This window comes from Homo sapiens, chromosome X (genome assembly GCF_000001405.40).
Source record: "Homo sapiens chromosome X, GRCh38.p14 Primary Assembly".
NCBI lineage: Eukaryota > Metazoa > Chordata > Mammalia > Primates > Hominidae > Homo > Homo sapiens.
Window position 1 is genome coordinate 32,638,848 of NC_000023.11, and position 12,256 is coordinate 32,651,103.

The 12,256-nt window shown below is 35.1% G+C and overlaps 1 protein-coding gene and 1 non-coding gene across 18 annotated transcripts in view, besides 1 other annotated feature; both read right to left on the reverse strand.

The window, feature by feature from the left end:
- DMD (dystrophin) overlaps positions 1-12,256 on the reverse strand; it is a 2,220,167-nt gene that overhangs the window by 1,519,626 nt on the left and 688,285 nt on the right. For all 17 annotated transcript variants that reach the window (XM_006724469.4, NM_000109.4, XM_011545467.2 and 14 more), the window contains 2 exon segments: positions 6,117-6,305; positions 5,285-5,466 (listed from right to left, as the gene is read on the reverse strand). In XM_006724469.4, the coding sequence (XP_006724532.1) occupies positions 5,285-5,466; positions 6,117-6,305 (371 nt within the window).
- MIR548F5 (microRNA 548f-5) lies at positions 2,627-2,712 on the reverse strand. Its single transcript, NR_031646.1, has one exon. It is a non-coding gene; the product is annotated as a microRNA 548f-5 (primary transcript).
- Positions 5,603-6,164: an enhancer, noted in NCBI's record as "OCT4-NANOG hESC enhancer chrX:32662567-32663128 (GRCh37/hg19 assembly coordinates)". NCBI's record gives its function as "activates a minimal SCP1, AML or CMV promoter by ChIP-STARR-seq in primed H9 embryonic stem cells {active_cell/tissue: H9 hESC(primed)}" and the evidence as "EXISTENCE:reporter gene assay evidence [ECO:0000049][PMID:30033119]".

Genomic DNA, 12,256 nt, shown 5'->3' on the forward strand with positions numbered 1-12,256 from the left:
ACTCTCACATATGCCATCTTATTTCCAGAGTCAAATAGACACTTGGGGGAAAAAAAAAGAGATGAGCCATATTTGTTAGATGTATTTTTCTGTCCAGTCAAAGCATTGATGGTGATTCACAATTATTTTCCATATTATGGCTTGTGTATCTACCCAGATACTATTCATATCTCTCCTCCTGCTGATATAAACCAAAAAACACAACTTCACTTGGCCTCCTGACTTGCTTTCATTTTTTTCCCTTACCGTCACAGAAGTTTTAGTTTCTGCCTGCATGTCCTAACTACAATTATCAGAAAAGTTGATGGAACTTGCTGTGCTTAACTTTGAGTCCTTATAAAAATGTCAGTAAATCTTTTTTGCTCTCTGCAGGTTGCATTTTTCAATCAAATTAATTAGTTTATTCATAGAGAAGAAAATCTTCTGTTTTCCCTGTGCCAGTTGTCTTCTTGCACTTCCACAGTTGGAAGTTGTGTGTTTTTCTTCCGAATTCCTTACCTCCTACCATCCCAAGTGTATTCCACAGCATTAAAAAAAAAATCATTGGCTTACTCCTCTTAAGGGGTTCTAACAAAACCACATCAATATTCTCTTGTTTTAAACACTACATTATGAAAGGAATGGCACTTAGTTTTCTCATTTAAATCATATAAACATTGGTAAAGTTTTGTAATTGACCAGTATCGGCACGTGCCAAACTCATTTGTGACTGGAGATGTGTTAATAAACTTCTTTATTGTATTAGCTTTTACCTCATCAGAAATTTATGTCCATAAAAGCAACAGAATTGGAGGGAAAATACAATAGCAAGGAAAGAATCAAATGAGAGTGTGGTTATGAAGGAGAAAGAAAGGAGGAAGTATCTGTATGGTTATCTTTCCTGACATTCCTTTGTAAGCATATTTTTAAATGTTGCCATTGTGAAAAAATAACTGCAAATGTATTTCTAATCATCCTGCTCATGCTCCCTTATCCCCATACAAAATAACCACAGCTATACTCTTTGGGAAAAAAAAATGACTGAGGCAATTAGAAAAGGCTGGAGAAAAAAAGTAAAAAACATCTATGAGGGTCAGGTTTGGTAGCTCAGGTCTGTAATACTAGTACTTTGGGAGGCCAAGGTGGGAGAGGATCACTTGAGGCCAGGAGCTTGAGACTAGCCTGGGAAACATAACAAGACCTCATTCCCTGCAAAATTTTTTTAAAAGTTAAAAAATTATATATAAGTTATTATACAAAATATATGAAATATAATTATATATAAAATTATATAATACTTCATATAGAAAATATCAAATTACATATAAAAAGTGACATGGTATGGTAAAATAGTTAACTGACAGCTCATCATCTTATTTATCACAGTTATCTTTCTTCACATTTTATAATAATTTTGCATTCACAAACTAACTTTTTATACCCTATCTCATCTAGTATCTTTCAGAGGTATGTCAGCCTCATGACACTATTGCTGTTTTACAAAACTATAAAGTAGAGAACAGAAAAGAAAAGTATATTGCCCCAGTTCACATAAATAAGTGTTTGAGAAAGCAAGCCCTTATTCCTTAGGCAAACTGGAGAGGATTTTATGTAAGGCAGAAATCAGGGCACGCTATTATCTTTGTATTTTTAATATTTCTTGTTTTGCATAATTGTTGATGGTTTATGGGATAAATATTATTTCCTAGATGCAACTTGAATAATAGTAACTGTGGGCACAAATTGAAGCAGTCTATTTCCAAAGGAAAAAGCACTTTTACTGTCAAAAGGAAAAAAAAATAGGAACTAAAACTAAACAGAGAAGTGGTTTTTAAAATAACTAAATGGCTAAGATAGTAAAGTATACTTTTATCACAACTACCAGCTGGTCTAAGACACTACTGTGTCTTAACTGGCCAACTTCACTGGCCTAATAACTGTCCTCTCTTCCTCCAGTGGCCTTCCTGATAGGTTTTCTTGACCTATCTCTCACCTACATAAAATCTGATGGCTTTGTCTTGCACTTAGTCTAGAATTCAAAGCCCTTATTCAAAGCCCTGACTGACACTACAATATGTAATCAGTCTCCTACCTATATTTCAACCCCATCTCAGACCTCAGCCATCTAACTTACCACCCTGCAACTCTACAGTCCCCCTGGCCTTTTGGTTCCTCCAGCAAGCCAAACTGTCCCTATTTTTGGGCCTTTGCATTAGCTGTTCCTAATCCGTGAACCACACTTCCTTGTGATCTGCAAATAGTGGTACCTTCTTGTCATTCAAATCTCAAACTAAATGGTACCAACCTTCAAAGTCTTACCTGGATCACAAAGTCTAAAGTAGCCTCCCCTCAACCATTCTCTATCACATTACATTTTAATCTCTTCAAAAACTATATTCCTATCCGGTATTTTTCTTGTGTTCTTTTTTTTCTTGGCTGCCAGCCTCTACAGAATATGTTTCATGAGATCTGGGGCCAGACCTTGTATGATCATTATTGAGTCTCCAGTGCCATTAATTGTTTTTGATAATGTATTCCATTAATATTTGTTCATATAGAGAGATATATGTGTATTTTATACGTATATATATATATATATATATATATATATCTCACAATGACTATATATCAAATATAATTTGATGTTGCTATTAGGTTGGTACAAAAGTAATTACAGTTTTTCCCATTACTTACAATGGAAAAAAACATGATTACTTTTGCAGCAACCTAATAGTAAGTATGTTGGTAGATAGGATTAATAATTGCTAAGTGTAAATGTTCATAGATTTTAGTGATAAGCTTATCTGTATTTACAAGAAGTTTTTAACTTTTGTTATATCAACTTAGAAATTATAGCATAGCTTTGGATATACTTAATATGACTAGACAAATGTTAATTATCATTTCTCTAATCGCTAAACCAAGGCTTAGGCAGGAAATAATGGCTTCCGACTGGATCTATCCAAACCCTGTCTTAGGTAGAGAGAGAAAAGAAGTATCGATGAATCCATTTTTGTTTACTAGTAATCTTCTACTCTGAAGTAATCATATATTTAGAAAAAAAATAGGTAATGCTCCAAGTTGAAGCTAATCATTGGAGATAATCCATTCTCATGACCATGATAATGGAAACTGAACAGGTTATAATTTATTTGAAGCATTAAGTAAAACCTAGATTAGTTTTTTAAAAATAATGACAATACCCTCTTTTCATAATCACGTTTTTTGTTTCCTCTCACAAAATCTTTCAAAAATCAGGTTCAGCAAAGCTTACATAATGGCTTATCACATTAGAATTTAATAGGTTTTATGCACGAACACATACATAGTCAAAGTGGCAAGGAAGACTGTTATTTATAAACTCTCATATTATTTCTGAATTTGTGTTGCTCAAATAATGCTTTGTATATTCATTTTTAAGGAATTTTCCAGAAAAGTCTATGTGATAGAAGTGGTTACATGTACGTGTCTCATTTTAAAAACTCTGTGAGATGTTTTAGCAAAAGCTATACCAGCTAGAAGGCTCTCCTTGCCTTCTTAATAATTATTCTAAAAGCTGTAACACGTACAAAAGCTCTTGAATCTTCCCTAAGGACAAACTAATTTTTTATGTCAATCTCAGCTAGGTGGTAATACTGCCATTTTAGCATTTCCATTCTCTAGTGGGATGGGGATGAGGAAATTACACGCACAGAAGTCTAGGTGTCTGTCATCCTTCACTTAATGGCAGACATCCCTTGAAGGGGGGAATTTTTGAATGAACATCTTTTTAAATGTTAGAATCACAGATAAAAGACTTTTTTTATGTTTCAGATAAGCAAAGAAAAAGTTGCAATTTTAATTCCAGGAGGAATTCATATTTTCTTGCAACTCAATTTCACACAGCAATTAATTAACTGATTAGTATGAATAATTAATGCCATATTGTTAGTTTTATTGAAAATGGGGAGTGTAAGAAAAATGAGAGCATTTAGCCTCCAGGAGAGGATGGAAACCTAGAGTGCACAAAGGAGAAGACACTGGTGGCTATTATGGCAAGGACAGTAAAGAGGTGGTTGGATTTTCAAAACTTTCTAATTTTGTTTGAGGTTGCTTTAAGTTCCACAGATCACTGCAAATAGAAGTTCTAACCTGAAGAATGTTGGCATATGACCACAGAAGGCAGCTTATATCTTAATATCGATAATAGATGGAGTAAATTAGTGGACCTGGTAAACACTGGGGAGTGGGCAGACTCAACAGTTATAATATGATTATTGTACCTCTCACATCTAGGGGTAGTGACAATCATCACCACGATCACAGCAGGCGAATAATATCAATATGCATAGATTAGTATCTCCTGGCTTGGAATACATATATAGTTATGAAACCTCTATCTTACATGTACCTTATTTATTCTTTCAAAAGGCCTGAGCTTAAAAATGTGTTTTTCCCCTCCATAATTTCACACTATAATTTAGTACTGGAATACCAATCCTTCTAGCATATCTAATGAGTTTCCTTGGTCCTTTTTTTTTTTTAACGCTTTTGAACTTCATAAATAATAGTTAAATAAACTTAAGGCATTTGGACAATTTTTTTCACTTAATGTATTCAAATCCACAGTTGGCACTTCATTTCTTTTCATTTAAAAATAAATCTATCTTGTCTTGATAGGCTTTACATGAATATACACACCTAACAATATAAATCAAAACACATATCCAGAATGATGAGATCTGCTTGTTACCTTTATAAGAAATATGTCATTTTTCAGAAATGTCTCAAATCCTCTTTTTTATTAAGTCAATATATATTCTTAAGATAATTCATAGCCATACTGTATTTTAATAAGAATTTCCCAAAACGTTTGAATAATGTTTTTCAAGAGGATTTCCATATATAGATGAGTAACTCTTTAATATTTTCAAGGGCTTTTTCTTCAGAAGAGAAGTTTCGTGTCAACTATAGCTAATAGGTGATTTTATGTACACAATCTCCTGTGCATGCTTCTGTGCCTTTTATAGTGACATTTTAATGTTTGGAGGAAAACCTAGAAAATAATAACTATGACAGAATTTTGGCAAATCTTAAAACATAGTTCTGTAGATAACAGTGCATCTATCTAACATCTGCTCTTTTAGTTACAAAAGTGAAAACCAAAATGTTATTTCTATGAAAATCCAACCAGTCTCCCTTGAAAGAAAGCTGTGTGCCTTGGGAACAAACTGAGAATCGTAACTTAACCATCAAACCACATCAAAATAATCACAAGCTTCCAAAACTTGTTAGTCTTCTTAATTAAAAACAAATAAGGACTTACTTGCTTTGTTTTTCCATGCTAGCTACCCTGAGGCATTCCCATCTTGAATTTAGGAGATTCATCTGCTCTTGTACTTCAGTTTCTTCATCTTCTGATAATTTTCCTGTTCCAATCAGCTTACTTCCCAATTGTAGAATATTACCAACCCGGCCCTGATGGGCTGTCAAATCCATCATGTACCCCTGACAAAGAAGGAAGTTAACAATTGTAATTAGAACTCTAGGTAAATCGGTGTGGTTTTGAGTTTTATTTGTTTGCAGTTTTAAACTTGTGGCCCATTTAGATTTATATTCCCAGTAAAAGGAATTTAATTTGTATTTGCAGAATCCCAAAACCACTTTTAATATGAATTAAGGAAAATTATCTTAAGTCAAGTTCTTCAGAAGCAGGCCCCGAGATAAGGACTTCAGTGCAAGTGATTTATTAAGGAAGAGCTCCCAGGAAGTTCCGCAAGGGAGTTGAAGATGGAGGAAAAAGGACAGGGAAGGGAAAGAAGCCAAACGAGTGTATCATCTCAGGAAAAGTCTCCCACTGAGAGAAGTTAAGCCCAATACCATACATCAACTCAGGAATGTAAGTAATGCCTCAGCACTGCCTTGACACAAGAGAAAGAAGTTGGGCTTTCGTATTCCTGTTGGCCGATCAGGTAGAAATGCCTTCAATGGTTGCTCTCCAAAAGAAAACTTCAAAATCTGACTGTTGGAATCCCAAGCACATCATAGTAACTAAATTTCCAAAATACAAGGATGTAAGAGAGTAATTGAGGAAAAAGGATGACTTGCCATTATAACAAGTCATATGTTTTGTTTTGTAAATTAACGTTTTAGTTTACCTCATGAGTATGAAACTGGTCTTTCACCACTTCCACATCATTAGAAATCTCTCCTTGTGCTTGCAATGTGTCCTCAGCAGAAAGAAGCCACGATAATACTTCTTCTAAAGCTGTTTGATAACGGTCCAGGTTTACTTCACTCTCCATCAATGAACTGCCAAATGACTTGTCTTCAGGAGCTTCCAAATGCTGCACAATAAAATAAATTGGGTGTTACACAATTAATGTCTTTGCAGATTGTTCCAGTACATTAAATGATGAATCGAATGAAATATTTAAAATGCTAGGACTGTCCACTGGCATTATCAAACACAGGAACAGCAGATACAGACAATAGGGAGTTTTCATTTTAACTTCCTCATGCATACATCAATTTTCAAATAGCGGTCAAAATCCACACCAAATTAATATTGTATTAAAGCTCTTCTAGATTACTGGAAGGAGTAAATTAGTATATCACCTCATGTTGCTTTTTAAATGCTATAAATATTGATCTGTAGGAACTTTCCTCATTTCTTATTTATAATAACTTACATATACATTATCAGAATTATATTTACATACCTCTGCAATGGCATTAAAGGAAATATCTCTTCCTGAGAGGCCCTAGGTAATGAAATATTTCCAAATATTTACAGACCAGTAAAGGCATCAGTAAGAAAACAAGGAGGTAGGGGAAAGGAAGGCAAAATTTAGAAAGAAAAAAAATACCTCACCCACCCATCTAAAATTTCTAACAGCATAATGACTTCTGTGATTTAGCCTTTATTTCCAGAAGGCCACGATTTAAATAGTAAGACATTATCTTAGAAGAACTAAAATATGAAGTATGCTTTACCCAATTTAATTAGCAGGATATTAAGTGAGAATGCAAATGGTTGTCTTGGAATTTCCGTCTGGACCCTAAAGCCAAGAGCAAAGTGTACGAAGCATCCATAATTCTAAAGAGAAGATCCAGGGTACCTGTTAAAAAATTGCTAAGAAGTGATCACAAAATTGGTCTCACAACCCTTAATCCAATATCTAGCTTAAAGGTGTGTAAGAGCAAGCAAGGAGGTCGATTAGAAAAATCTGGTGAGAAAGGCTTCCTCTGGAGAGGCTGGAGCGCTCTGCGTGGCTCTAACTTCTCCCCATCTGAAGCCAAGTAATAGAGACGGGGTAGTTTACATGAGCTGTAAACCTGGCCATATGTTTGCAGAGATTTGCATGCTATAGGAACCATACACTCAAGTGACAGGAGAGGCTTCTTGGGATAAACTACATGTCTGCTGCTTTAACCTAAAGGCATTTATCAAGGGCAAAAATTTGAGTAAACTACTAAGTTTGCAGGAGGTTTTGCTTTGGGAGGAGTGTACTCCTTGCAGGTCGCCGGGCTTCAAAAATCCTGAGAACATGCTCAAGAGGGACTTTGCTGAGGTCAAGGACATAGGCATACTATTTACGGAGGTGAGCAGAACAAACAAATATTGGAGAAATATTTGTAGAAGAATCTTCTGCATTCCACAAATATTGCAAGCAAGCACGGGGCCCCCTAACAAACAGGGTTTTGTAAAGGAATCAAAAAGCAGTGTAGAACAACAGAAGCTGTTTGGGGGATTTCATAATCTCACCCAGAGAAAATTCAACCTTTGGTGGCTTTCCCCTGGTGTGTATGTGCTACATTTCCTGTCCTTCTCAGTTCTGGGAATTAACCCACTAAGCTGCCAGCACCAACTTACTTGTGCTCTTCTGATAAATGCTCAAATTTTGAAAATTCAATATTTTAAATTTCCCCAACTGTTAAGTCCTTCGAGATGACAAGGCATAGTGGCAGTTATTGCAATGACATTTTCATCAAATGATGCACTCTTTTTCCAGTTTCTATAAAAGTGGCAGAGAAAGGTCATCCTGGTAAGTCAAAATCACCGAACTTCATCATATCAAAGAGGGTAAGTGCACTGAAAGGGCTATTTGCATGGAACCCTTGTCTAACAGTAAGGCAATTTCTGAAGGTCTTAGGGGTTAGAACAACTTCCATGGTGTATCTCTTCCGTCTCTAAATACTATTAATAATAACTATCAAAGTCAGCATTAAGGGGGAAAATGATATAAAGGCAGCCTGAGAGATGTGCGCAGGTGGAACCAGCTTCACGTTTGTGCAACCTGAGCAGTTGCACAGGGCCCTGAGCGCAGAAGAAACACATGCCTCTATTATCTGCTGATACTATCCTGAAATTGTAAATAATTTTATTTTTGAATTTGTGTTTTAGAAGTGAAGTCCTATGTGCAATGAAGGATGCACATGCGCAGAGGAGACAGGTGGTATAATATGTGTATCTGTCCTATTTGCATATAGCATTTTCAATGCCCTAGAAGCACAGAAGTCTGGTGAGCTCACAGTAAGTTTAGTAAGATTCAAAGAATATGGCGTAAGTGTGTTATGTCTATAACTGAGTAAACAAGGTTGCTGGCAGCCCTGGGAGATAATGCTTCCTATCTGAACCAGACCCTGCTTCAAATGCAGCAAGAAGGCAATTTTTTCAAGAAAATACAAACGACCAAGAAACCCTATCATATCCTTTCCTACTCCTGTTATGTTCCTATATGAACCAACCACTTATGCTGAAATTGATGATATAGAAAGAAAGGGAATCTTGTGACTTTGGGAGTTACCTAGCCCTGCATAAGCCTTAGTTTCTGCTTCTGTAAAATGGGAACAATAATACTTCCATAATAAGATTGTGGTAAGAATTAAAGAGTGCATAATGCACTTCACAGAGTGACCTTGTATAACAACTAAATAAAGTATGTTACGGCTGTAATTATTATCAAATTCCTCTGCATATATAAGAAGTGTTTTGAAGCATAAATTGCCCCAAGATTACCTTCTTAAGTCACTGTTCAGGTTTCAGGAGATGGAAAATTATTGTCGAAAATACGCCCCCAAAAATGTGTAAGAGCAAACATTATTTAACTCTTTTTGAAATCTGAACCTTAACCTAGCTCGTATTTAAGAGTTCTTAAAAATCATTAACTATCTTGAGTTCAAATAATCTTCTCCAAACGAAGCATTGTAAACAGCACTAATACTCAAGTAACACAATACTTTACACTGTGCAATTTGAATCAAAATATTAAACACTTTATGATTTATTGATATTTACACAGGATTGAATTTTGGAAGAAAATATTAAAAGGTGTATACTTATACTCAAGGACATGACATCTAGTACTCAAATTCTGAACCTAAATATTTTGTCTGAGGATGTGCATAAAACAAAAACATTTCAAAGACAGCCTTCTTAAAGATAAATTCAAATCTGAATAAGCTATGCAAAATTTTATATTTATATCCATCAATTCAACTATATATATACAGAATTATAATCAAAATTTGAATTTAAGATCTGAGTAATTATTTGTCTAGATAGACTATTGTTTTTCAAATTGTAAGTCAGAATCCATTCATGGTTCATAAAATCATGTTAGTAGGTTATGACTAGGAATATTTTAAAATTAAACAGAAAAATAGTAGTCTGTGTCACTTATATAATACTAACAATTATTGTCTCAATTTTTGTTTCAGATGTGCATATGGGTTTATTTTGATATGTATATGTATATATGTTCTAAGGTGAGATTAAACTTTTTTCTGCAGTTTGTAAAACAAAATTGGAAATGGCTCTAGAATTTCAGACTAAGCAAACCGACGAAAAAAGAAATTTGCCTGAATTCTACATTTGTATATTTTCCATAGAGACCTTGGAATAAAAGACATTTTAAAATAAAACGATGTTTAATCTGAGAATTTGGAAATAAAGATATAAAAAGTGGCTTATGCTTTGTTTCAGCACCCCAAAATATGTTTTTATCATCACAGAATTTTACATTGTACCTAAGATTGGAGATCACTTCATACATGTCATGGCATCAAATGAAGAGATTTTCTAGGAAAGTTGGTTTTTGTTCTTTATAGATCTATTTATAAGAAAGATAGACCCCAATCGTTTCATGAATGAAGATGCCAGTATCATCAACTGGAACTAATTATTTTTCCTATGCTTCAATCCTATTTTGTCTTTATCACAGTAGTTTATGTTTCTCTTCAGTACATTGGGCAAATAATGATTACGATGAGAGGCATGACAGTGAATGGATGAAACGATTCTGTTTTTGTTTTTTTTTTTTCCCCCAAAATTGAGTACACTCAAATTTATTCAACGTTATCCACAGACTTCAGAGGCTTAATTACTGCCTGTTAGATTTAGGAAGTATTAGATATTGTCACCTATGTTCCTTGAAGACATCGCTCATTAAAAAAGGTGGAAGAGGCCGGGTGCGGTGGCTCAGACCTGTAATCCCAGCACTTTGGGAGGCTGAGGCAGGCGGATCACGAGGTCAGGAGATCGAGACCATCTTCGCTAACATGGTTAAACCCCGTCTCTACTAAAAATACAAAAAATTAGCCGGGCGCGGTGGCGGCGCCTGTAGTCCCAGTTACTCGGGAGGCTGAGGTAGGAGGAGAAAGGCGTGAACCCGGGAGGCGGAGCTTGCAGTGAGCCGAGAAAGCGCCACTGCACTCCGGCCTGGGCAAAACAGCAAGACTCCGTCTCTTTTAAAAAAAAAAAAAAAAAAAAAAAAGGTGAAAGAGCAGAAAGGAGAAAGGTAAAAAAATCAGGGATGATAAATGACTGTTTTAGTCCAGCAATGTCTAGAAAAATCTCTAGACACTCATTTCTGGAGACAATTTCTAGTCATAATTTCTACTCGTAGAATTTCTCTGACTAGAAATGGTTCTAATGAAGTATACAGCAATAGCCTTGATACTTCTGAATATATAAATATATTTTAAAATCCAGTTTACTATCTGTCTGATCTTGGGTATTTAACCTCTCTGCATCTCAGTTACCCCATCTATAAAACAAGAAAAATAAAAATATACGTACGTAAGGCTGCTGGAAAGATTAGATGAGATAGTGCATATAAAATGCTAAGCACATTCTAGATCCCAAGAAATGCTCTGCAATGCCTGTGTTTGGGGGCCAAAGTTCATTGAAATGATAAATGATTTTTATGGGGAAACAGGTGAATGAGCTCTGTGTGTTTCTGGAAGCATGATTTGGGCAATTCAAACTGAGATAAGTAATCAAGTGGCTACATGTAGGTAGTGAAACCAGCAGCCCAGCAAACCACAAAGCTCTTAGAAAAAATAGCTGGGACACTATGAGAGGGCACAGTCTATCACTGAGCAGTTTTATATCACTGATAAAATGGATTTTGGCAATTTATCTAAATTCAGCCTTAAAGTATGATACGACTGTTAACCTGGATCAAAAACAGTTTTATTGGTCTTGAATGCATAAATGCTTCAAGAACATTTGCAAATTTTATCATTCTCAGTTCATTTAAATGTATCATACTTCTTTTTCATGGAGTCTAAGTCAATGCATGGATGGTGAATTTTTTGGTGTATTCTATAATCTTTTTACCCCTCAGTAAAAGATTATTTCCAAGATAAAGGATTACAGAGGGATAACCAAGCGGTTCTTTCACTAAATAACAGAAGAGCATTTCTGAACAACCAGGATTAGTACCTGGAAATATTCTTGACACATTTCCGCTGTGTTTTCTCACAGATATAACACGTAAACCAAGGTACTATTCAAAGCATAAAAATGATTACTGAAGTGATTTATGAGAAATTAATCCATCATGCAACACTGTACATGACATTCAACCTAATGACACTATTAAATAGGTAATTTTTAATATAGATAGGGCCTGAAATTGAGTTCAAAGTTAAGCCCTAATGAGGATTTAGGAAAAATCATGGCCTGCTGTTAGGGCAACAATCAACAACAAATACAACTACTACCGCATATACAACAGCAATAACAACAGCTGCCATTATTTATTGAGTACTTAGTGTCAGTCAATTTGCTAATCACTTAACACGCATTATATCATTTTTCACTACAACAGATCAGGGTGATAGAAATTAGTAGGATGAGGAAATGGAAATAGAAAAATTAGATGACTTGCCAAAGGTCACAAAGGTAACTGGTGGTTCTGGGACTTAAAACCAGGTTGTTTGGATTCCAAAACACGTCTTTATCCCAATATGATCAATCTCTTTAAATGAAGAAAATGAATTAAGAGTC